Source organism: Homo sapiens, chromosome 10 (assembly GCF_000001405.40).
Source record: "Homo sapiens chromosome 10, GRCh38.p14 Primary Assembly".
Classification (NCBI taxonomy): Eukaryota; Metazoa; Chordata; class Mammalia; order Primates; family Hominidae; genus Homo; species Homo sapiens.
The window spans coordinates 51,057,576-51,083,886 of NC_000010.11; the positions used below are offsets into that span (position 1 = coordinate 51,057,576).

The following is a 26,311-nucleotide window of genomic DNA, read 5'->3' on the forward strand; positions in this document are numbered from 1 at the left end:
TTTCCTCAAAGGTAACTATTATCTTCACCATTAATTTTTTGCCCATGTGATATATATTCATTTATGTCTGGTGTATTTTGCTGAGTATTGTTTTGAGTTTTATTGGTGGTGTTGCTTGTAGCAATGTTCACTTACTTTTACTGTTTTTATATTCTATTGGATTAATATATATTTATCTATTCTAATGTTGATGGACATTTGTGCTATTGCCAGTTTGGGATATTATGAATAATGCTGCTACAGATATTCTTGCACACATTATTTGGTGATAATAGGTATGTATTTCTCTTGGAGATATCCTTAGGATTGGACTTTCTAGATTATGGGATAGCCATATAATTAGTTTAGGTAGACGTTGCCACCTAAATTTTCCCAAGTGGCCATAACAATTTATACTCCCACTAATAGTGGATGAAAGTTCCTATTGTTCCACAGACTAAGGATTGCTGTGAATTCTTTTCAATTTTAGCCATTTGGGTAGATGTGTGAGATTGAAGTTTTAATCTACATTTCCCTGATGACTAACGAAATGAGCAATTTTTCATGTTTCTTGGTTATTTGGATACCTTCTTTTACGAAATGCCTGTTCAAGTATTTTGCCCATTTCTCTATGGGGTTGTGTGTCTTGACTTATGAGTTTTAGGAATTCAAGATAGCATCCGACTTAACCTTTTTGCTAATTAAATATATATTATAAATATCTTTCCCTACTTTGTAGTTTGCCATTTGACTGTAGTAATTATGCCTTTTTTATTTTTTCAAATAGACTTAATTTTTTGAGTGAAAAATGTTAAAAGCAGAATAGACTTAAATTTTTAGGTTTTAGCCTCACAGCAAAATTGAGCAAAAGGTATAGAGATTTCCCATATATCTCCTACCCCAGTATCCAGTATTCATAACCTCCCCCACTATCAGAGTAGTACATTTGTTACAATCAATTAACCTTCATTGGTACAACATTATCACCCCAAATTCATAGTTTGAACAAGGGTTCATTCTTGCTTCTCTAGGTTTGTATAAATGAATAATGATATGCATCTACTTTGATGTCTTTTGGTCGAACAAATTTTCTAATTTTAATGTGGTTCATTTTATCAGCTTTTCTCCTTACAATGAGTGCTTTCTCTTTCTTGTTTATGACATTATTACCTACTCTAAGTTAGTGAATGAATACTCTCTCCTTTCCCCTGTTTTCTTTTAGAAGCTTATCTTATCTCTCACAGTTAGAGCTACAAATCTTCTGAAATAGAATTATTGTATATCACACAAAAAGGGGCACAAGATTCATTTACTTGATGTATGAGTATTTAGTTGATGCAGTACTATCTATTTAAACGACTATATTTATGTAGTGTCACATTTGTTGTATATGAAGTAGCTTATGTATGTAGGTTTATTTCGGAGCTCTCCATTGTAATCTATTGAACCATTTGTTTATCCTTATGCTACAAATGTTTGTTTGTTTGTTACTGGTATAGAAATACATTTTTAACCTTTAACATAAAATTTCTGTATGCTGACCTCAAATTTACTTATTTTAATAGTTTATATGTAGGTCTATGTCAATAATTATGCAATATTTTCTAATTTTTATGAATTTTACTTAGTGTTCTTGCCTTATTTCAGTGGTCAGACCTCAATTATAATGTTGAATGAATGTGGTGATTATGGACATCTATTTCTTTTTGTGGTACCATAAAGAAGTCTTTTAATAATTCACCATTAATTATGAGTTTTTGGTAGATTTTGTGTGCATGTGTGTGTGTACATTTTAACAGATAAGTACTGTCTACATTTAAATTATTTATTTATTCATTTATTCATTTATTTATTTTTTTAGAGGCAGAATCTTGCACTGTCATCTAGGCTCCAGTGTACTGGTGCAATCATAGCTCTCTGCAGCCTCAAACTCCTGGGCTCAAGTGATCCTCCTGCCTCAGCCTCCCAAAGTACTGAGATTATGCGCATGAGCCGCCACACCTGGCTTATTTCAAAATTTTCAAAATTATTTTAAAATTATAAATGGATTTTGAATTTTATTAAATACTTTTTCATAATTATTGAGTTAATTTTTGTTCATTTCCAGTTTAATTCTTCTGCAGCAAGACACCATGATTTTAGTCTTCTGACATTTGTTGAGACTTGTTTTATGGTCAGCATATAGTCAATTTTAATAAATATCCCTATGCACTAGAAAATTATGTGTTTTGCAATTTTGAGATGAGGTGTTCTATGTAGTGTAATTAACTCACGTTTGTTAAGTATATTGTTTCTATCTTTTACAGCCTGATTATATTTCTGCCTGCCTAGGTCTATCACTTATTCTAAGAGATGAGTCAAAATCTAATAAGATATTAGATTTGTCTCTATCTCTTCTTAGCATTATGAATTTTTACCTTTGCCAATGTGAAGGCTGTTATTTAGTGCATATAAATTTAGAATTATAATTACTTTCAGATAAATTAATCATTTTATTATTAAGAGATATCCCTTTTTAACTCTAGTAACACTGATGTTCTTACTTCTTTGTTATTGTAGTAGAGCTATATCAACTTTCTTTTGGTTTGTGTTTGGATTATATTTACCATTTTTACTATAAGCCTTTGTGTTTCCTTATATAACAGTTGTCTCTTGTAAAATATATATAGTTTTTATTTTATTCAGTCAGATAGTCTTTGTTTAGTAACTGGAGTAATCTGTTTAGTTTATTTACTAATACATTTTGATCTGTCATTGATCAAATCTTTGATCTATCACTGTACTGTTTGTTTTCTATTTGTGATTTTTGTTCTATATTAATTTTTCTTTCCTTTTTTGCCTCTACTTTAATGAATCTATTACTTTTAATATTTCAGTTATCCCTCCATCAATTTGTTATTTATACAAGTTGTGCTTCTTTAAGTGGTTACTCTAGAGAGTACAACATGTAATACATGCTGGCATTAGTAAAATTAGAGGTAAGTCATTACATTTATTAATACTCAGACAGTGAAATGACCTAACAACATTCAACTCTATTAGCCCCTTACTCTCTTTTATATTATTGTTGTTAGATGTTATTGTTTTATATAGTAATAATTTATATACATTTACCCTCATATTTGTCCTTTCTATGATACTTACATTTTCTTTAAATCTTTGTGCTTTCATGTGGATTCATTTTCTTTTAAAAGATCTGAAGAATACATTTTATTATCTCCTTTAGTGTGATCAGTAGGTAACAAATTCTCTAGTTTTTATTTCTCTGAAAGTATACCTATTTACCTTTATTTTCAAAGGATATTTTTGTCAAGTATAGAATTCTTCGTTGTCAGATTTTTTTTCAGCCGTTTGAGGCTACCATTCTATTGTCTTATGGCTTTCACTGCTTCAGTTAAAAAGCTGTTATCTTATTGTTCCTTTGAAGGTTGCAGATATTTTTGTCTGTCTGCTCTTAGGAGTTTTCTGTTTTTCATTGTAACAGTTTTACTGTGTTATACCTAGGGGTGTGTGTGTGTGTGTGTGTGTGTCTGTATTAGTCTGTTCTCATGCTGCTAATAAAGACATACCTGAGACTGGGTAATTTATAAAGGAAAGAGGTTTAATGGACTCACAGTTCCACATGGGTGGAGAGGCCTCACAGTCATGGTGGAAGACGAAGGAAGAGCAAAGGGACCTCTTACATGGCAGCAGGCAAAAGAGCATGTGCAGGGGAACTCCTCTTTCTAAAACCATCAGATCTTGTGAGACTTATTCAGTATCATGAGAATAGCACGGGAAAAACCTACCCCCATGAGTCAATTACCTCCTACCAGGTCCCTCTCACAACACGGGAATTATGGGAGCTACACTTCAAAATGAGATTTGGGTGGGAACTCAGCCAAACCATATCAGCGTCTTTTATATTTATTGTGCTAGTCATTTACAGTGCCTCTTGAAATCTGTGGCATGATAGTTTTTATCAGTTTTGGAAAATTCATAGTGATTATTTCTTCAAATACTGCTTTTGCTGTATTCTCTATTTTCTGTCCTTTCGAGACTCCAATTATATAGAGGTTAGAACTTCTCCCATAACTCCACATCTCATGTCCTTTTTCCTATGTTTTAAGATTCCTTTTCTTTATTTAATGTAGCTACTTTATTTGGACTTATCTTCCAGTTTACTAATTTTGTCTTCTATTATTAAAGTTGACTATATAGAGTTATTAATTTTCAGTTACTGCTTTCTTTCATCTAAAATTTCAGTTTCAAAAAGTTCTTTGTAATTTCCAGTTTTCTGCTAAAATTACCAACATTTGTATCACATTTCTGAAACATAAAATTGTCACAATTATTTTAAAGCCCATTTCTGATAATTCCAATATCACAATCTCCCATGGGTCTCCTTCTGTTGCATGGCTTCTACTGTTTTCCCAGTTTTAGGTTATGGGGTGTTGCCTTGTTGTACCTAATTGTTTTTTATTGAATCCCAACATAGGTGTGAAAAATTGTAGAGAGAGTATGATACTCTGGATTATGTGATCTTCCTTCATGGAGGATTTACTTTTGCTCCTGATGGGCAGGAAGACTAGGATCAGATCACCCAAACCAATTATAGATTGAACAGATATAAAGCAGGGTTTCAGTCTTATTGAGTACATGGTTATTAGCAGTTAAAGTTTAGCCTCTCTGGAATTCAACTGGTTGGGCCTGATTTCAGTTTTTTTCCCTCCAGCCACTTTAGACTTTTGAAGCTTTGCTCAACTTCTTAGCCTCTCAGCTTCTAATTTATGCTTACTTACTTATTTTCTTAGAAGTATTTTGTGATTGGTGAATACCTCAGAAAAACACTGAATGTTGGGCTGATATCTCTGGACAGACTTCACTTTTCTCTGGGATATTGGCCCCTCAATTCCTTGCTGCTTGGGAGTTTTCCAATGCCTTATTTTTATATTTTTGGTTCGGCTTCTCTAATTATTATAGGTGGGAGGGTTGATTATCAGTAAACGAATCTTCCATCATCAGAAGAAGAAATCAATAAGATAATCTCTTGAATAATAATTTATTTTGAATTCAAAACAGTATCTTTTTTTTTTCTATTTTTTTGAGATGGAGTTTTGCTCTTGTTTCCCAGGCTGAAGTGCAATGGTGTGATCTCGGCTCACTGCAACCTCCTGCTCCTGGGTTCAAGCGATTCTCCTGCCGCAGCCTCCTGAGTAGCTGGAATTACAGGCATGCGCCACCACGTCCAGCTGATTTTTTATTTTTAGTAGAGACGGGGTTTCTCCATGTTGGTCAGGTTGGTCTCAAACTCCCGACCTCAGGCGATCCGCCCGACTCAGCCTCCCAAAGTGCTGGGATTACAGGCATGAGCCACCGTGCCCGGCCCAACAGTCTCTATTGAAACAATAAAGATAGGTTTAAAAAAATACAAATAAGCTATTAATTTTAGCTCATAGTGGTATTTCAGATTTTGACAATCAACTCAAAATTTTTCTTAAAAACTTTGAAGCACAGTTTTAGAGAAACATTCTGTTTTTCTGATTTTTAACTTGAAACAAAATTTGGCAAACTTTATACATTATTAGAAAAATATGCCAATTGTTTGCTTGAATGATTTCCTATTTTTCCTTGTTATGGGTATGTTGAAAAGGATATTAATAGTGCCGTTCATTACCAGTAAGTTAATAGAATACTTCACTCAAGTACAGCTGCGTCATTTAACAACAGGGATACATGCTAAGAGACGTGCCTTTAGGTAATTTTATCATTGTGCAAACATCAAAAAGTGTATTTACACAAACCTAGATGGTATATAGCCTATTACACACCCAGACTATATGATATAGCGTATTGCTCCCAAGCTACAAAGCTATATAGCATGTGACTGTACTGAATACTGTAGGCAATTGTAACATGATGGTATTTGTGTATCTAAACATATCTAAACATAGAAAAGGTACAGTAAAAATATGGTATAAAAGATAAAAAAGGTACAACTATGTATAGCAGCTTCATTAGAATCTTACAAGACCACTGTTGTATATGCGGTCTATCATTGACAGAAAAGTTATTACATGATGCATGACTGTACGTTAATAAGAGTCATTTTCTAAATTAGGTTATTACAAGTAACTATAAAAGTGGCAAGCTTCCATTTGCATCACTATCGAAATTTTATAATTAGAGCTTAATTTTTTGAGGATCTGCTAATTAATGTCAAAAGGAAACCAGTGTTATTTACCTGTTATTTTTATAATGATTGTGTTAAACAAAGACACACGGTGCTCAATATGGAGTAGAACATTTGGACAGTAGAGGGTGCAATTGTACCTTTAGTTCTGTATTTTAGTCATTAGAAATTAGTATTTAATGGCTGAGAGATAAATTTGAAGAATGTACTGTTTGTTGAAGCTGTACACTATGGAAGTGTATTTGAAATAAAATGAGTCATGTAAAGAAGGAGTACAAATTTCTCTTGTCATGTGATGCTTTGCTTTACCTTGTACTTTTAAAAAATGAAACATTTAAATCTCAATCAGAAACTATTTGCTAAAAATATTATTTTTAACTGAATAAAGAATATATTTTCTACATATAGAAAGGCATATCATATCAACATGACATTTTTCTGTTGTGGAGCTTTATTAATTTTAATTACATATGTTTTTCCTCTTGGGAAATGGTGCTTCCAAAAGGATTAGGTATATTGATGACTGCCTCATGAGACTCCCAGTTTGTGAGAGGAAAAATCTAATTAAAACCACTAAAGATAAATGATGCAATGCCAAGAGGGTTTTTACATTCACATGGTTATTAATGCTAAGGTTTTGTTGAAGATCTAGAAGTTTCACACAGTTATGAATCAGAAACTTAGATTTCTGTTTAGACACTGAAGCAGCATTATAACATTGCAGTTAAAAGCTTAATTTATAAAGATTTTTGGGATGTATATATGCAAGGCTTTGACTTTTTATCTTCAAATTTGACTCTTTAATAGATAAGGATTTGTTTTATTTTCTCATAGGAACGGCTTGTCTTTAGGTTTTTTTAAGGTTGACAACAATTACTTTTTCAAGACCTATATTCAAGTCTAATAAATTTGAAGGGCTTACGAAGTATTCTTTCTGACTTTTTAAAATTACAGAAAACATCTACCTGAGAAATTTTCTTTTTTGCATTAACAAACCATATATTCCTGTCTTTTGATTTAATTGAACAACTATTTAACATAGCATTGTGACTTTATAATTATTGCTAATTCCCAAAGGTTAGCACTTTCATATTCAATTGATTGTGATGTTAAGCTTATGATTTTATATCTAGGGCCTACTCTGACATTCTATGGAGAAAGCAAAGCAAGAACAAGGGAGGGGAGATGGGAAATAATATATGTATGTTAAGAATTAAGTTAGTGAAGGAATTTTGCAGATGGAGGTAAATTTGCTTCTTGAACTTTGTTTAAATCTTAACTTTCAAATTATAAATGATCAGGTAGGACACAAGCATTGGTTAATAATCACAGAAGTTATTAAGTATATTAATTGAAAGCATCTGCTTTCGAAATAATGTCAAATGGTATGAATAGTTTTCTACAAGATGTATGTATTAAGAAGCACTAGTAAAGAAGGCCAACTCCAAATAAAGCAGTCAGCTTTTGGAAGAGTAGCTGGAACTGTGGAAGAAACAAAAAAGAAATTGCAAAACTGTTGATCCTGTAGACATTGCCAGTGTTACATAAAAGAGCACTGTACCTTGAAGACAACATATTATAAGCCTAAGAGTAAGAAAGAAGGTGAGATTATGGTGATTTAAAAGTGCATTGAGAGAGTTGAAAAAAGTAGTTGGATATCAAGACACATTATTTCCTAGAAAAAAAAATCAGAGTGACAGGAAGAAAACATAGTTACCATGGGCCTTAAACAGGCAAATATGTTGTTCAAATAGGGATGTATTTTTTTTCCATAAAAGAAAACCCATTTTAAAGTTAAGCCTCTGATATATTTGATTTGTTACATACAGAAAGGCTTAAACTAAGCCTCTGATATGTTTGATTTATTAAATATTACACAACACCATCAATAAACAGAAAAGTTTTCCCTTTTGATTCTTTTCCATCAGAGAGGTGTGTTTTGCATTTTAAATAAATAATTGTTGACTGTATTTACTCCTACCTTTATTTATTCAACGCAATTAGCCAGTATAGTGAGCGCCTTCCTGTTCTAGGTGTTGATGAACAAAATAGACATAATTCTTTGCTTTCATAGTTTACAGTCTAATGGGAGATGTATCTATCTAACAAATATTTATGCAAATATTAGGGTTAGTGTTAGGGTTAGAATGCGTAATATATAATTATGCATTGTGATAAAGTGCTTTTAGAAGGGAAAACATTATGGGGATGATTCTGAAGGATTATCAGAGAGAGTTTTTTTAGGGAAGAACTGAAGATTTATTGAATAAATGACTCAAGAGATGAGAGGCGGTAATGGGGAAGTGATAGGGCTAGGATTTGAAGGCAGTGAAAGGGGTTGAGAATAGGTCTTCACGGGCAAAAAGAGAATTCCCATTGGAAGCTATGAAATGTTAAGACGTAATTGCTTAATGCTTGGAGAACTTAAAGAACTAAAGGATCACTGTAACACTTTGGTAATTAATTACTCATCAAATGCTCTACCTTATTTTGATCCCATTGTAGTCCTTCCTTGAACATTTTCACAACCTAAGCAATAATCCTGTGACCCAGTCTAATTTTAAAGGGAGGAAATTGATTATGGATCAAATGGCAAGGCTAATCCTTCCTGTAGGCACCAAATTTGTTATATGTTCATGGTTTTCTGTCATGTCATTGGCTGTGGCCACAGGCTGGGCAAATTGTGGTTTGAAAGGGGAGATGTGAGTAGTTGACAGTACTGTTTGTGGGACGAGAACTGTGTGTTCTTGTCTCAGATATTGCTGTGTATGTAGATAGCAATAGGGGATTTCACAAATGGAGAAAATGCTTGTACTTTCTATTAAATTGTCTAACTGACTTTTAAAGTATTAAATGCCATGAATACTCAGGTTCAACACTGAAAGTATTAGAAGAAGGAAGGTTTAGTTGTTAAACAATGTATATATTTACCATTTATTTACATGGTATATACAGTATGTAATATTTTATGTATTTACTGTATATTTATTTTGGAAATTCATAATACATACTGGAATGTTAAAAGTACTGATATTAATACTGAAAGAAATCTCTTTTCTTACATTTTTCTCAATCTCTCCCAAACATTTTTGACCATGAAACCCTTTTTCATTACATTTATTACCATTTTAAGGAAGTAGTGTTCTTTAGTTCACATTCTGAGGGAAGCCCTGCATTAGAGTCGCCTGGTTGCTAGCAGAGCTTTCTTTGACACTCCTCTTAGAACAACATATTTGCCTGCTTAAGATCCATGATAACTATGTTTTCTTCCTGTCACTTTGAATATTTTCTAGAAAATATGTGTCTTTATACAACTACTTTTTTTTCTTGAAAGAATCACCACTTAAAAGATTCCACCTCTCAATCTTGGTGCACTGGGGATTAAGTTTCCAGCATATGAACTTTGGGGGAGACATTCACATCATAGCTAACACATTTGCTTTTTTTTTCTGTGGGAGGTGGGATAGGATGGGATGTTAAGCCATGGCATATGTTGCTGTCGCTCCTTTAATTATCTGTGTTTGTGTGTTTGTATGTATGTGTGTATATATATATATATATATATATGTTATTTGTGTGTGCCCTTGAGAGTGGCATAAAGTAAACTAAAAAATAGACCAAACATGGAAACACTGTTATCTTAGGTAAGTTTTAGTTCTGTGACTGCTGAGAGAATATTACTTGCTGTTTTCTGATGGAGGGTCTAACCAGTGGAAACTGGAAAATGAAAGTAAGCAATTTTCACTAAGTTCTCTATGTTCCTAACAGCAGCAATTGCTTTTAATATTCCACAAATAAACATTGTGAAGATTTCCCTGTTATTTTTTCCACTTAAAAGTTGTAGTCAACATAGATGATTTTCTAAAGAAACTAGATGATTAGAATTTTGGCTGTATTATAATCTGGGGAAAAATTAGATGAATTTTCCATAATGACTCTCTACATTAACTCTTTGAGTAAAAAATTTGTATGTAATACAGTGACTCTAGACAGACACTATTTTGTGCTAATATCAAAAAAGTGTGAAATTTCCTATTGTACATTTATTTATATGGTGCATTGAAACTATATGATACTTTAGATATTGCTGCTTTGGGTAACTTCTTCATTATATAGGTGTTTGAACATTTGTCTTTTAAGTTTAAATCTGGAACACTAATATTTATTCTTTACCTACCAGATTAAATGCCTGTGCTTTCAATAATGAATTTTTAAAAATCCAGTCTAGACCATGAAGGAATTACTGAATCTTCTCTAAAAACCTACATTAGGCAAGGCCAATGATAATGTTGTAGTTAGTTACAAATACATAGTGAATGTATGCATCTCCTGGGCCCCAGCCTGGGGCTTCTACCCTTGTTTCAAGAATAATACGTGGCAATATCTTGGCCCTGGAATGATATCCATTTGCTTTACTAGCCTACTATTTCATTTGCCTGTCGTTAGAAAAGTGGATTTCTGGATTTCCATCTCATGATGATTATAGAAAAGTCACAATTTGAAGATTCCTTAATTTGAAGCTAGGTGATATTTACATGCCCATTAAGTTAATGAGAGTGGAGATCTCCATGTATTTCCCTACTATGTCTTTTTGCCTGCAAAGCCCCCTCTCCCTTGAATCACTGACATTCTCACAATGTAAATAAATTTCTTGACATCTTTCTCTTGCCCAATGCAGTCATTTGACCTACTAATAAAAATTCAATTCACCCAAATTTCTATTTCATTGTCCTTCTTACATCTTTAGTATTTTCTTACCTTATTATTTTTAAAGAGTTTGCTAGCAAAACTTCAGTTTTCTTTACTTTAAATTTTGGTTACAAAACCTGTAAGAAGAAAATGGCCAAGTTATATCAACTGCTAAATACTAGTTAAAATACAAACAACAGCAAAAAAGACAAATCATGGACTAGAGAGCTATTCTATAAGCCCCACAATATCAAATCTGTTTTCAGAATCAAAATTACTTTTAAAAATACTTTAGAATATTTTGTGGAAAATATTGATGATTTACCTTAGTAAAAGATGCACATTTAATATACCAGAAGAATCACTGAAATGGAACTGAGCAACTCTAACTTATTTATCATACAGGTATGTTGCATGCTCATGTACATATTCATTACGCTTCAAATGCAGTAAAATGGTGTCTTGTGAATAAAGCATTTTAAATTCTATTTTATGCATTTAAAAATTTTACACTTATTTCAAAATACAAAAAACCTAATATTTTTCTTGATTTTTTTTCTTTTGGCTATTGTAAATGAGCAGCTGACTAAAGAGTACAAATAAATATTCATTTTGTTAGATAGCTCATGAGTTTTCATGAGAACTAGTTTAGCCTGAGACCCAATAATAACTTCCCGTCATCTTAAGAAGGGGACTATAAAAATTCATTTCACCTAATATTAAGCATGACACTAATTCAGTATTAAATGCTAAGTACATTAGCAATTATGGTACAGTACGCTGTTACTTTCCAAGTCTCTGCAGTAAGTTTTTCATCATTAATGGTTTATTATTTTTTTCTTTTCTACGCAGAACTTACCATTTGAAATAGTATAACTTGAAAACAGCCAAACTATTTCAATTTTTACTTATATCCATGTAAATATATATTCCTTATGGCCAAATCTATCCACTAAACACAATTATAAAACTAGTTCTATAGGAATTAATAAAATAGCAGGCACTTGAATCCCTGTACTTAATTCACAGGGAATCAATGTAAGTTCCAGTTTCTGTAAAAACAATAAAGCAAAAAGGGATCCTTGAATTATTGTCTAATTTATCAAAGTATAATTAAAATTCTATTGTCTGACTCATCCCCCTTTATAGTCCAAAGACAGTTCCGGTTGTGCATTATTATTCATTGCAATAGGATGATTGCTTTCCTAAAACATATTAACACAAAGTAATGTATAAGTGGGTTTGTAATGTGCCTAAAATAATAGGTATTATCATTACAGATCTTCCTTGGTTTTACTTTTCTATCAGTAATGTGGAAAGCAAAATTTGAAAATATTTATAAACTAGAGAAGCTCAGATATTTTGAATTGAATAGGGTGACCAACTCTCCTGGTTTGCCCGAGACTGGAAGATTCTTAGAACTTTTAGTTTTAAAGACAGGACAATTTCAAGCAATTTTAGGATTAGTACAATCTCTGGCAAATGGGTTCAAGTTACTTACCCTGAGCCAGAATGTAATCTTGTTGAAATAAAGACAGGACTGTTTTGTGAAAAGGAACTTTTTGAAAACCTTGTTGCTGCTCTTTCAGGATTTTCCAAATTTGTCCTCTTCACCTCCCTGACCCCTAAGTCAAGCAAGTTGATGTTAAAGACACTCTTCTCTCTCTGGATACAGAATAGGACAGTAGCAACACTTATAAGTTCTGCAGAAAGTAATGAGGGGTAGGGGCCTCAGCTCTACATCACCTAGTCTGGATATGAAGCCAGTCTTTGCCATTGATTAGGTGAATGATTCTGTGACTCCATTTTCTCTAATATTAATAGAATATTAATAATATTGAACTTATAGGGTTGTATGAACAATACCTATCATGCATTAAGAAGTCAAGGAAGTTAGTTAATTTTTTGTGATCTTGATTATGATTAGCAACTTAGAACAGACCGTCATGTCTGCCAGTAATAGCTTTAAAATCTAGATTCCTAGGAGGACTTGTTACTTTTAGCAATCTTCTGCCAGAGGAAGCTTCTGTCTCCTGAAAGGCTCAGCTATATATTTGTTTGTTTATTTTTTCCCATTCAAGATATACACATGAAATGACAGAAGAAAATTTCAAAACTTAAGATTCTTCCAGGAAATACAGTGTCAGTGGAATGGATAAGTGGATAAAATTAGCACAGTTCTTTTGGGCTAATTATGTTTTTAGTGAAGGATGACAAATTCTACAGATTTATTTTTGAATAGCCAGTATTATAATAAAGCTACTTTATTGGAATAGCTCATTAAATGATTCTGAGAATCCATTAAGGAAGGCATGTCAGTTTTTATTCTCAATTATGAGGATTGGGTGCAAGACTAAAGAGCATGTTGGAGTTCAACAGGCCACAGTTTGGTCTGGCTACCAGTAGAACTTTGCTTCTATTAAAGTTATGAAAAAGGAAGACTGCTGAAAAACAGGTTGTGAGTTGTTTCTGGAATTCTAGAGTATGAAGTCAGTTCCTTCAAAATTGCATTGTTCTAACTGTTAGCATCTAATGTCAAAGCTTCATCTCAGATAGGCAGTGGGGCAGGGCTCAGATCAAGCCATTCTCCTCTACTCTATCCCTGAAGGAATCTGAGGTAGACACTTCCTAATTAGCAGAAAGTAGACTTGTGCCTGATCTTTGATCTTGTAATTTAGCCAATTAAGTTTACTACATGACACTTAGTAAAGATAATTTGTCTGTTAAGACGTAATTGCAGGACTTTGATTTTTCACATAGGGTTTATTTCCAGCATTTACTAAGTACAACGCAGAAGATGTTTAAGAAAATATTGGAAACACTCAAAAGGTTGAGATGGAAACCTGGTCGCTCAAGATCTAAACAGCTGGTCAAAAGCATCATTGAAAAACATACTTAAAATATTTATTTTTACTTTAAAAATGAAAGAGAAAAGGCTAGAATCCTGGATTTTGCATATGAAATTATAAAGCATTTAAGGGGAAGTCAATTTAAAAAAATAACACAGCCTGAGATAACTAAATATATTCTATTCCTTGAACACCTTTTAAAGTCAATTGTAAAAGTCATGTCTTTTCAGCTTTTTACTCTATTTGTGTTTGTTATAACAGATTCCTGACTCTCAATATCAGATTCATCCTGGAACAGATTTTATATCATGAGATGTAAATTTAAAATGAAAATGTAATGTGTATACATCCTATAGTTGCATTTAGATATGCCAGCTTAAATACTGATAAGTATTTACATAATTTAGTGTAAAAAAACTCACTTTTTTCCAAAATGCCTAAATATTTTTGGTTTTTTTATTTTTGGGGAAAGTGTTTTAGTTTTTATTTTCCTTTGTACATGTAGACAGACTTTCTACAAATGAGGAAGAACCTTCTCTCTTTGTGCTGCTCAAAAACATTAAGTAACCCCATTTAAACCCTAAATAAACTCTAAAACATCAATGAAAAACGTATTTAAAATATTTGTTTTCACTTTAAAAATGAACGAGATGGCTGGGCACAGTGGCTAATGCCTATAATCCCAGCATTTTTGGAGGCCAAGGCGGGCAGATCACGAGATCAAGAGATCGAGAACATCCTGGCCAACATGGTGAACCCCGTCTCTACTAAAAATACAAAAACTAGCCGGCGTGGTGGCGGGTGCCTGTAGTCCCAGCTACTCCGGAGGCTGAGGCAGGAGAATCACTTGAATCCAGGAGGCGGAGGTTGCAGGGAGCTGAGATTGCGCCACTGCACTTCAGCCTGGGTGACCAGAGCAAAACTCCGTCTCAAAAACAAACACACAAACAAACAAAAAAAAAACAAAGAGAAAATCCTGGAATTCTGAACCCAGCTTAGCAGTTGTCTAATTATGTCCTCTATACATTGTATCTGGTATATTTTTAGACATAAACTCATGGCTTCATGAACCCCAATAATAGATCTATAGGAAAAAGTCATTTTGTATTCAACATTTTCCCATGGAAATAAAGAATTCCCACAGGTTAAATAAGAATTTGGCCTTTTGCCCAGAAGAAGGAAATTTTCATGGAAGCTTTTTTAGAATACAGTGAGTTATACAAAGTCACAGTACTTCTGCTTGGTTTACTTTTAATTAAAACAACAGTAATTCAGAGCTATTATTATTTTCAATATTTGTAAGTTGCTCATTTCTTCATTGCAAAAGAAAATGTTTTGAGAATGATCCATTTTATATATCACATTTAGAAATAAATGCACTTCTGAAAGTCTGTGTTGGAAAGCAGAAAAATGAAGTGTCTTGTGTAATCTGCATTAAGAGAATTACTAGATCATAATCTACATAAAAGAATATTTAGGACTATATATTTTGTCATTTAGTCCTCTAATTAAAAACAAGGACACTTTAAATGAACAAGCTTGTTAAGATACCTTGACCTCCCTCCCTCCTTTCCTCCCTTCCTCTGTCTCTAGCTTAAATACAAAAAGTTGTGTATTCAAAAGCAACAGTGTGCAAGTTATTTTGATACTATTCTTTGCTAAGTTTAGAATTGCATTGCAATTCAATTTTATTTTCTGTCCACTTTGTTTTAGTGTTAAGGAATAACCAAATAGAGCATTGAGGATTATAATATTGAGTGCCCAAGAATAGTAATCAAAAATCTGCCAATAAAGATGCTATAAAATTGGATGAGTTCGTAATGTCTTAAGCAAATATTAGGGATTTAGGTACGTATTAGGCAGATATTTGGGGATTCTAAACATGTGTTCCCATGATGGGAGTGTAACACTTGGATAGAAAGGAAGTTACCTAATTGTGATCATTTTGGGGAATATTGAGTGGGCAGGGATGAGGGTGGGAGTGGGTAGAGGTGGGGGTGACTGCAGTATAGTGTACAATTCACTGCAGCCTGCGTGGTCTCCCTCGCTCCTTCACGATTTTCCCTCTTCTTCAAAGTTTGTGTCAGGATGTCTTCCTGGCCATTCAAGTGGAAAGATACATTCCTAACAGCTTGGTTGTGAGGAAAGTAATATTTTTAAAGGTATGATTCAGTTTCAAGATGAAATTTTTGGAGCTCGGGAATGATTTTTAACCCCCACCCTCTCCCCGCCAAATTCAGCAAATGGAAGAAGCAAGGCCCATCCGAGAACTATTCCCAGGCACCAGCTCAAGGCGGAGGGCTCATGGGGAAGCTGAGTGACCTGCTAGGGCCCAAATCCGTTTTTGGCCTTTGCCCTAAAACAGTTCCCCGATGAGAGTTTGGAAGGGGCAGAAAGGAAAGTAACTATCTGGAGCAGGCGAAGAGTAGCAACGCCTCGGGTGCTAAAATCGGAAACCCCACCCCCTACCCCACAACCCTTTCCCAAAGGTAGTAGGCTGAAAGGGGGAATTCCTCGCGGGCGCCGACTCGCTCGCATCTCCTGAGAGGCAAGTTTCTTCGCAAGCGTTAGCCACCTGTGTGAGGCGCTCTGGGTGGGAAAGGTGGCGTGGGAGAAGCGACAGCTCGGCCACACCGCTCGGGAGCTTTCCTTAGTGAGGCCGGCCGTCAAAATACCTCCAGAACTCAGAGCTTTGATGATGCAGAGTCCCCTATGCCTCGTACGTCGCTAGGATCGTAGCTCAACATTCTCCAGGCTGGTCTGCTCTGGAGTCAGCTGAGGCCTCCCGAGTTTGCCCGGGGTCCTCCCTGTCCCCTCCCTCCCACCTCCCCACCCCCGAAGTAGCGCTCCCGCCTCGCTCCACCCGCACACCCCCGGCGCGCCTCGGAGGCTTATCAGGCTCCCCGCACGCCCCGCAAGCTTCCTTGGGCGCCCGGCGCGAGGGACTCTGAGAGCCCAGCCGCTGCCTCGGAGCCCCCATTCACGTCCCCTCCTCCCGCTCCCCCGCCACCGCGCCTCCGACTCTTCTCCCCCGCGCCGCGGCGCCCACCGCGTCTCAGGTTTAATCCCGGGTTGGACCTGCTGGTTTGCTCTCCCCGCTCTGAGCCTCACAGCCAGCCCAGAGAAGTGGAATCTGCACTGAAACTCTGGGTGGCTGGAGCCGGCGGACTGGGCATGCTCAGAAGCCAGGGCTGGCTTTGGTCTCAAGTAGGAAGCTTTGGCACTCGGGAGGCAGCGGCGACTTTGGGGAAAGTTGATCGGAGAGGGGAGGAAGCCTCAAGACGCGGAGCAGCGGCAGGAAGGAGCCCCCGGCAGCCCGGAGGAGCATGGGCACCTTGCGGGATTTACAGTACGCGCTCCAGGAGAAGATCGAGGAGCTGAGGCAGCGGGATGCTCTCATCGACGAGCTGGAGCTGGAGTTGGATCAGAAGGACGAACTGATCCAGAAGCTGCAGAACGAGCTGGACAAGTACCGCTCGGTGATCCGACCAGCCACCCAGCAGGCGCAGAAGCAGAGCGCGAGCACCTTGCAGGGCGAGCCGCGCACCAAGCGGCAGGCGATCTCCGCCGAGCCCACCGCCTTCGACATCCAGGATCTCAGCCATGTGACCCTGCCCTTCTACCCCAAGAGCCCACAGTAAGCAGGGGTGACGCGCCGGGTCCATGTGGCGCCCTGGCGATGGGGAGCTGCGGGTCTCTGTATTGTCTGTCGGCCCCCGCCCCTCCCGCTTGCCATGTCTGTCCTCATCCTCAGAAATGTTTCATTTTAACGGGCACTTCTTGCGGGGCTGTGCACGTTTCTCAGAGCCAGACTCACTGCACATACGTTGCCTTCGTGTCTTTGTCAGATGTCAAGGTATTATTTTTAAATATACATATACATTCGTATAAGCCACCTAGTGTACGTAGAGTTTGAACACGTCCCAGGTGTGTGTCCGACCGTGTGTGTGAGTGTGAGAGAAGAAATAAAAAGCCCCCGTCTCCCAAAAGCCCTGGCAAACCAGCCCAGCTGGAAAATCCTAAATGCAGGCTCATCAGACTTGAAATGAAATGCGTCTGATCACCCATACTTTCTATGCTTTTGTGGCTCTCCCGGATTTCTCTACCTGCTGGCGCTTCACGCTGGTACCCTTCAAACCTGACGTTCTTGTCATCATCAAAGTGTGAAACATAAGCAAATAGGCATAGAAAAAGGAAGAATTTTTGATTTCCTGAATTGGATGACATTTACAATCCATAAATGGAAGACTAGTCTGTTGATTTTGAAGAAATATTTTTTCATAACATATGAGGGAGAAGATTGCTTATTTTACTTAAGAAACGTGCATAATGTTACTAATGGAGCATCTCCATCTCCCAAGAGGTGGTTGCTTGTTTCCAGGGTCAGATACAGATAAGCACACTTATCTTATTTAAAACGTGGACCCATTGTTTGCCTTACTCTTGGCTTCTAATGCAACCACTCTGGCATTGTTCTAGCCTTTTAGGGAACTGTGCAATTCTGATGTTAGTGGGCTTCATAACTTGGATGGGAAAAATTTAATGAAACTTGTTATACAACACTCAACTCAGAGTTCATATGGAGAGTAAAGCGACAGGAACATGAGGTTAACAGAATGTGGGAGAGCACCCAAAAGAACGGCATTTTAAATTAATAGATAATAACGTAATTGATAAAACCAAGGATATTGCTGCTTACTCTACTACTAACGAAATCACATTGGCTGGATGGCACGTGTTACGTAATAATGCAAGGTCCATCGAAACCCTTCACTTCATAAATACAACAAGTTAATATAAGGAGAAAGTAAATATTTGATTATCTCTATTTGTATTTATTGGATGTTTTTTGGGGAGAATCACAGCATGTACCAATTACTACTTTTGAAAACTTAGAGTTATACCTATACATGTTGATTCCCATGGAACATTTGCTGTTCATGCAGGCTTAGTTTAGGGAGGAGTTTGTATTCTGCGAGGGAGTTGGAAAGAGACAATAAGGATAAACATTTCTGAGATTCTGACCTTACCAAATTGCCCTAATAGTTCAGCAGACTTAGATCTGCCTTAGAAACCTGAGTGATCTGAATAAACTTCAACTTTCTCTGGTAAATTAATTTGCAATCCTGACATGCCTGACTGTTTTAGCTAACGAGGTACATGACCATCTCTCCTGGGCCAAGTTTTGCATAATGAAAAAATAACTCAAAGACAGCTCTCTGCATCTTTAAACATTTCATAGGATCTCATTTTTGTATCCGCAGGACTTTTGAGTGACACAGAGCAAACTCTGCTTTTACAAAAAGACCACTTTAATAGGTTTCATAGTGAAGCATGTTGAAGCCAGCTGATAACTCCAGTTACACATTCCATCAGAGATTTACAAGATTCTAGGCAGTAGGGAATGAGCTATACAATGTGATAAGTTTAAAAGCCTCTTTGTACATGACTTGTAGAATATCTAGATTGAAAAACAAACAAACGAAAAAGGTCCAGAGTGGAAAATAAAGCTGGTGTGGCAAATAATTTACAGCATCCCATTATAATAACATTTTATCTATCATTATAATAACATTTTATCTATCAAACAACACTGTGTGTCCTGATACTGATTTCTTACTAATAACTTGTATTTTAAAGGACTCAGCTCTTAAGGTATTGCCATGATGCTTTGGGTGACTCTGAAGTATTTTATTGAGGAAAATGATAGAATGCCTTCCAAGCTTAAATAATTTTGGAAAAACATCTGTTCTTTTTTCACACTTACATAAAGAAAACTAGAAAAAAATTGGCTTGAGTAGTAGAAAGTGTACCTTTCTTAGGGAAAAAAGAAGTACATTGTATGCAAAATGAATAAATCTTATGTTGTTTGAATGGTTGTACAAGGTAGCTCCACAAAGAGTTAAGAAAACCTGCCAAACCAAAGAAGACTTGTTTGCCTTTCAATGTATTTCACTATGAATAATTTGATTACACGGACTTACTGGCAACAAGTGTTTGTGTCTTTGTATTTCATCTTTACTACATCTTAAATGTAGCCATCTTTCTTAAACATACATATAGATTATTGTGAGTTTCCAGTTAAAATGAAACTATCTAAATAGACACATTAATTTCCAGTTTACGTTCATGCTAGTTTTTGATTCTCTTTTTTTTAGATGTAGGTAACTGCCCCGCTAATGTTCTGTTCATTTATCTGATATATGCAAATATATCTGTTTAGTTTTTACTTACTAAGGTTGCCTTCTGAGGATTATAATTTTTTTTAGTTCTGGTTTCTTGGTAAATTTGGTCATTTAAAAATAGTATAAAATGTAAATTAACTTAATAACTTGAATCATTTTAACATTTTTGGCTTGGAATTTTTCCTTTAATGTGGGAATTGGAGGGAAGGTTCTGTCAGATTCCAGCACTGAGCCAGGACACTCCTGCTATAACTATGAGGTAGGAGGAGGGTTTTTATTGGTCTCTTTCACAATCTGTATAGATACAATACTTATGTGAAGGAAAGAACTGATGTAGCAAATTGGAATCTGTATTCCACTGCTACCAAATAACTCCTTGAGAATGTAAAACTACTAAACTATATTTGGAAATAAACTGAGCAAATAAACCCTTAAAATGAAAAACAAAACCTAAGCATTCATTATGTGAGATCAGATAGCCTGTTGATTGCCTATATAGAATAGTTCTTATGGACTTAAGTAATTTTATTTCATGAAGTTTCATTCCTGAAATTGATTCTATATCATGTTAGAACATTCAGTCTCTGAAATTTTGATCTAAACCCCTTATCTTTTGAAAATATTCCCAAATCTTTTCCATTTTCATGTCACAGGGTTTCAGTCATTTCAGTTGGATTATATAGACTTGAGTTCCTAAAAGTGGTTAGTGTCTTTGTATTTTTGTAAGCTGTTGCTTTCACTCCATGTTCTATTTTGTTTCCTTTCTTTTTCCTTTGTTGTTGTTGTTGAGACAGAGTCTCACTCTGTCACCCAGGATGGAGTGCAGTGGCACGATCTTGGCTCACTGTAACCTCCGCCTCCAGGGTTCAAGCAACTCTCCCATCGCAGCCTCCTGAGTGGCTGGGATTACAGGCACGTGCCACCAATGCCTGGCTATTTTTTTTTTTTTTTTTTTTTTTTAGTAGAGATGGGGTTTCGCCATTTTGGCCAGGCTGATCTTGAACTCCTGAACTCAGGTTATCAGCCCACCTGGGCCTCCAAAAGTGCTGAGATTACAGATGTGAGCCACCACACCTGGCCCCTGTTTCACTTTTTCATTGCGAAGTACTTTGGAGGAGTTGAGGATAAAAATATTTATTTATATTTATTTATTTATTTATTTATTTATTTATTTATTTATTTATTGAGACGGAGTCTCGCTCTATCGCCCAGGCTGGAGTGCAGTGGTGCCATCTCAGCTCACTGCAAGCTCTGCCTCCCGGGTTCACACCATTCTCTTGCCTCAGCCTCCTGAGTAGCTGGGACTACAGGCGCCAGCCACCACGCCCGGCTAATTTTTTTGTATTTTCAGTAGAGACGGGGTTTCACAGTGTTACCAGGATGGTCTTGATCTCCTGACCTCATGATCCGCCTGCCTTGGCCTCCCAAAATGCTGGGATTACAGGTGTGAGCCACCGCACCCGGCCTATTTTTATTTTTAAGGAGGCATTCATTTTAAGAGATTATTTAATCTTTTAAACTTTATACTGATATATCTCAAGAAAAACAAAATGTTCCTAAAGACTGTATATTAAATTCTGTTGGAAGTTGAGAGAATTCTAGAATTCTAGTGTAATCATAGATGGCATAATATTAAAACATAGATGGCTTGAAAGGTAGAAATTTAATTCCAAAAGTGCCCTACATCTCAGTTCAATACTTCTATGGGATTGCCTGTGACATGCAAAATATTGTAAGGCATTAGAGGTAAGAGCTACATAGGTCCTACCATCCAGGAGTGAACAAGGGGTTAACAATACTGCACAAGTAAATATTCTAGAAAGTAGATAGAGTAAGGTAAGTCACAGGGGAGATAACTAAGAGAGTTGGCAAAATATAATCAAGCCTGTTTGGTTTTATGGTGTCAGAAACTCATGTGGAAGTAGAAGGGTTTAAAGTAAGTATTTGAAGAAGGGCTATGATTTAGGTGAGTGGAAATGAGAGGAAAGAGGGAGGGATAGAGATAGGGATTGGGGAAATACATTCCAAGCCATTAGCAAAGTGACAGCACAGAAAAAGAAAGCAGGGCCCCTCTGGGAATTGGGAGCAACTAGTGGCTGTGCTAAAGTACTGTAGTGGGAACTGTGGAAAAGCAAGTTTAGGCCAGTGAGAATGAGAATCTTGGTTTCTATGATTTGATAAAGTAGGCGAGAGGGCATTCTTTTGGGTTTTAGAATAGCTAAGGCTCATTTGTGTGTGTGTGTGTGTGTGTGTGTTTTACACCAAGGACTAATAGTTACCCACTAATGCAGTTCTGAATGCCAGAATATCAGTTCAGCTTTCTTACCCCCACCATCACAGTCCTGTTAATAGTCGTAACTATATAACTAGGTAAGAGTAGTTAATTGAAGCAAACAGCAGATGATTAGAAGTCTTAAAGAAACCAAGTTCCAAGTTCCTTTTTCCACTCACTTCCAAATGTTCTCATTGAAAGTAATCTAACTTGATGCCACAGACTAGCACTGCAGATTCCTCACATACCTAGGCAAACTGAACATCAATGAGAATTGAACCTGAAGTTGTTTTTCGAAAGTCATCTTTCTTGTTTTTGTGGAGGAGTTAAATTCCAACCTAATGTTATTCTAATAGAGTTTCTAATTTAAGGTTGATTGTTAATTTGACATTACAGTTTATGCAGTAGAAATGAAGTCCCGGGAGCATTTATAAAAATGTATGAGACCAGCGTGCTAAAACCCTATTAGGGTATTTTGAAGCACAGTCAAGTTGCATGCCCCCAAAATGGGTCTTATAATGAAGATACTGGTAAGCTCTTAAATAGAATGGCTCTACTACCTGCCTGAGAATATAAATTACCAGCTTCCTTGCTCTACTGGGTCACATTTCCAAGCTCCTGCTACTTGTTATCTGGATTCCTAATGGGAAAGGGTAGAAGAACACAGATGATGTTTCTATTGTTGCTGTTTGCAGGTTATAAGGCATATGGACACATTTTTTTTTCTGTCTGCCTAGCAATGGAGGGTCTCCATGGTATCCTAGCAACCATATTCGAACACCAGGCTGCTGCTCTTTCTGCCATCTCTACCATAGGTGCTGCAGCCCATCCCAAGAAACTGGGTCTGTTGCTAGCATTCCAGATCCTCTGACTTGAACCTTTCAAGCTCAGAGAACGCAAGACAATGTGATAAATAAGCACATGCTGAAAGCAGCATTTACCAGTATGCTCAACAACTTATTATGCAATCACATCCTTGGCATTTTGTATCCTAATCTGAATTGTTGAGCTGGTACTGTTTGCCACCCCTTCCCCGACAGCCCTTGTCTGCTTCCTCACACTCAGTTCTGACACCGGTTCTGCTTCCCTCTCACCATCTTCTGTAACGACTGTGTTCCTCAGCACTTCCTTAAAATTTATTTTCTGAGAAGTTCAGTATGTGCAACCTGTTTGAACTCTCTAAGGATAATTTTGTTTGTAAGAGCAGAGGAATTTTCTCCCTCCAAAACTGTCCTGTAAATATAAACAATAGCACAAAAACTTCAGCTACACAAAACAGATGTTTAACACAATGTGGAACTAATAGTACACTCTCAAAACTGTCTTATTTCTGAATGAATTTTATAAGCATACTACTCTCCAGCTTTTTTCATTGCTTATAAAATTCATATAAGCATTCCTTCTGGAGGCTCTAGGGGAGACTCCATATCTTGTCTTTTTCAGCTTCTAGAGGCTGCCTATATTTTAAGCGTGAAATTTATAAGCAATGAAAAAAGCTGGAGAGTAGAGTGAGAAGAAGAAATGCATATCGAGGGAACAAGAAAGGGCGAAACGAGATGGGTATTGGTAAAACTATGCCATATTTGCAAGGAAGTTGGAAAATAGTGATAGGCTTTGTGTGCAAGTAAATAGGTGACAAGACTGGAAAAGAGCTTGCAAGTAAGATAGTACTTTATGGATGAAGACTGCCATAGAGAAGAGACACCCAAATTAGAGTATATCGAAGGCTTGCCTTCTTAGGGAGCTATACTGAAGATAGTTTCCCATTAGACCAGTGCTTGTTTTGAATGCATTGTATTGTCCCTTTGAAATGCTCCTTAATTTGACATCATTGAGGACTTGGTGGTGTTTGTGCAGCCAACAGTGCAGAGGACAAGAATAAGGGCAACAACTCAGTGCATCCTGCTTCTGAATGAAAGCATCAAGAATTACACTGCTCATCATCATCAGATTGGGTAACATTTATGGAGCACTAACTCTGTGCCAGGCACTGCTCCTGTGCTTTATATAGATTGTCTCTTTCATTGATTGAATGATTGATTGATTGATTGAGACAGGTTCTTTCTGTCTTATTGCCCAGGCTGGAGTGCAGTGACACAGCCATAGCTCACTGCAGCTTCAAACTCCTGGGCTCAAGTGATCCTCTTGCCTCAGCCTCCAGAGTAGCCAAGATTATAGGCACATAGCACCACACCTGGATAATTTTTAATTTTTTTCTGTAGAGACAGGGTCTCAGTTGCACAGGCTGGTCTTGAACTTCTGGCCTCAAATGATTCTCCAGCATCTGGGCCTCCAAAGAAAGTGCTGGGAATACATATGTAAGCCACCGCACCCCACCTGATCATCTTTTTTTTAGGACAAAAACAACCCTATGAGGAAGATTCTGGATTATCCCAATTTCACAGCATGAGAAAAAGAACTCTGGGGCGCAGAGAAGTGAAGCAACTTGCCCACAGTCACACTAGGTTGAGCCTGAATTTGAGCTCCAGAGCTTTTCTCCTTAGCCACTAGGCTCTCTTACTGCCCAAAGGGTCATGGGGATTAGGTAGCTGCAGGAAAACTTTATGAATAACATATAGGTCATTCTCTGGGGTGTATCTGTTCACCAATAATTAAATAGGAAGCAGAAGGACTCTGGGACTAGTGGAAGAAATAATGTAGGACGGCGGTTCCCAAACTTTCCTGCGCATTAGAATCACATGGGGAACATAAAAATCCAATTCCTAGATTGTACCACAAACCAATTAAAATCAGAATGTCCGGGTGTTGGAAGCTACATATCAGTAATTTTTGATGATTCTCCATGTAACTTTAACGTGTAGCAAAATTTGATAACCACTCTAATAGGAAGATGACAAGAGGAGTGTGTGTGTTTGTTGTGTGTGTACATTTGTGTGTGATATTAAACAAAAGACCAGGATAAAGTGTTCATCTAAAGAGTTGAATGTCTCTATTGGCTAAAACCTTTAAGCACTAGGGGCCTGCGAAAGCATAGCTGGATTTTTTTTTTTGCCAAATTGTACGTGTAGACAAATTGTACGTGTAGTTTAGTTGATGCCTTCTTGTTTATTCTCCTAAACAAGTGATCATTTCCCTACCTAGCCCATTGGTTCTCAAACATAGCTGTATGTTACAATCACCTAGGGAGCTTTAAAACATACATTTGCTGGGCACCACCTCCAGAGCCTATGATTTAATTGCTCTGGGGTAGACCTGAGGTATAGGTATATTATTTTTACTCCCAAAGTGATTATAATATTCAGCCAGGGTTGAGAAACCTCTGCTATGACCCATTCATTGTTGATTGTTACAGACTACTTGAATTCCTATTCTTTGGGGAAGCACCTTTCTTGTTTCTTTTTGAGCAACCCAAGTCCCTGGCTTGCAGTGGAGCCAGGCAGCTTCAGCTCCCCAATCTCCCTAGCATCTGAACCTATCAGCATCACTTTAATCTCTGGGGTTACCTGTTAAGGACCTGGGGCACACAAAAGTGGCAGCAGCTCTGTTCAGTGGGTAAGTTTGTTTCCCCTTTCCTGCCAGCCAGGGTTCCTGGCCACTTTCAAATGTGACACACATTAGGATCAGCTTTCATCCCAAGTTTTTTGTTTGTTTGTTTTGTTTTTAAATTCTTGCTGAGGGCAGCTGCCTCTGTGGCCAGATAGTTTCTTTGGGTCCCAGCTCCTGCTATCCAATGCTAAGTTGAAGGTGAAACAATGATGAGCGCCTCTTGGAAGAGCAGTCCTGGGCTTGTAGCGTCTCTCTTGGTATGTGATGTCTCTGCAGCCAGCTACAGTTTTTTTTTTTTTTCCTACAGATATTTTATCCTTTTAAGGCAAACAGCGTGAGCTCAGGCTGAGGAGTACTTTCCGAGGAGACTTCAGAGAAAGCAGAACTAGCACATCAACCTTTCAGCCCCCTTTCCAGGAGGCTTGGTTTAAGTGGACAGATCTGGGCATTGCTGGCAGTTGAGAGGTCGGAGACGACACCTGCAATAAAAGATCTTGGTGTGTCCCTCATGAAGACTTCCAGGGGAAATGAGAATTCCTAAACCCTGTGGTCAGACCTCACTGCTGCCCCTATTGCCAGCTCTGTGTGTCTTTCCTGCCCTCTGTCCCCTTAGATCCTTGTTACAAAGTCCTCAAGGTGTTGCTAATGGTCTCTGCTA

General features: G+C 37.0%; 1 protein-coding gene and 1 long non-coding RNA gene across 6 annotated transcripts in view, besides 1 other annotated feature; one reads left to right on the forward strand and one right to left on the reverse strand.

The window, feature by feature from the left end:
• Positions 1–26,311, forward strand: part of PRKG1 (protein kinase cGMP-dependent 1) — a 1,307,463-nt gene that overhangs the window by 66,688 nt on the left and 1,214,464 nt on the right. For 3 of the 5 annotated variants that reach the window (NM_006258.4, XM_011539952.3, NM_001374782.1), the window contains exon 1: positions 16,912–17,326. The exons of 1 other annotated variant lie outside the window; for it this stretch is intronic. In NM_006258.4, coding sequence (NP_006249.1) covers positions 17,016–17,326 — 311 coding nt within the window. In that variant the 5' untranslated portion in view covers positions 16,912–17,015. Of the gene's footprint in view, positions 1–16,911; positions 17,546–26,311 lie in introns of those variants that run through there. One more of the 5 variants, XM_017016413.2, reaches the window with a different exon arrangement.
• On the reverse strand, positions 5,004–10,977 carry LOC102724719 (uncharacterized). Its single transcript, NR_120678.1, has 2 exons — positions 10,910–10,977; positions 5,004–5,355 (listed from the first exon to the last, which is right to left on the reverse strand). It is a non-coding gene; the product is annotated as an uncharacterized LOC102724719 (long non-coding RNA).
• Positions 25,341–25,862: an enhancer, noted in NCBI's record as "OCT4-NANOG-H3K27ac hESC enhancer chr10:52842676-52843197 (GRCh37/hg19 assembly coordinates)". NCBI's record gives its function as "activates a minimal SCP1, AML or CMV promoter by ChIP-STARR-seq in primed H9 embryonic stem cells {active_cell/tissue: H9 hESC(primed)}" and the evidence as "EXISTENCE:reporter gene assay evidence [ECO:0000049][PMID:30033119]".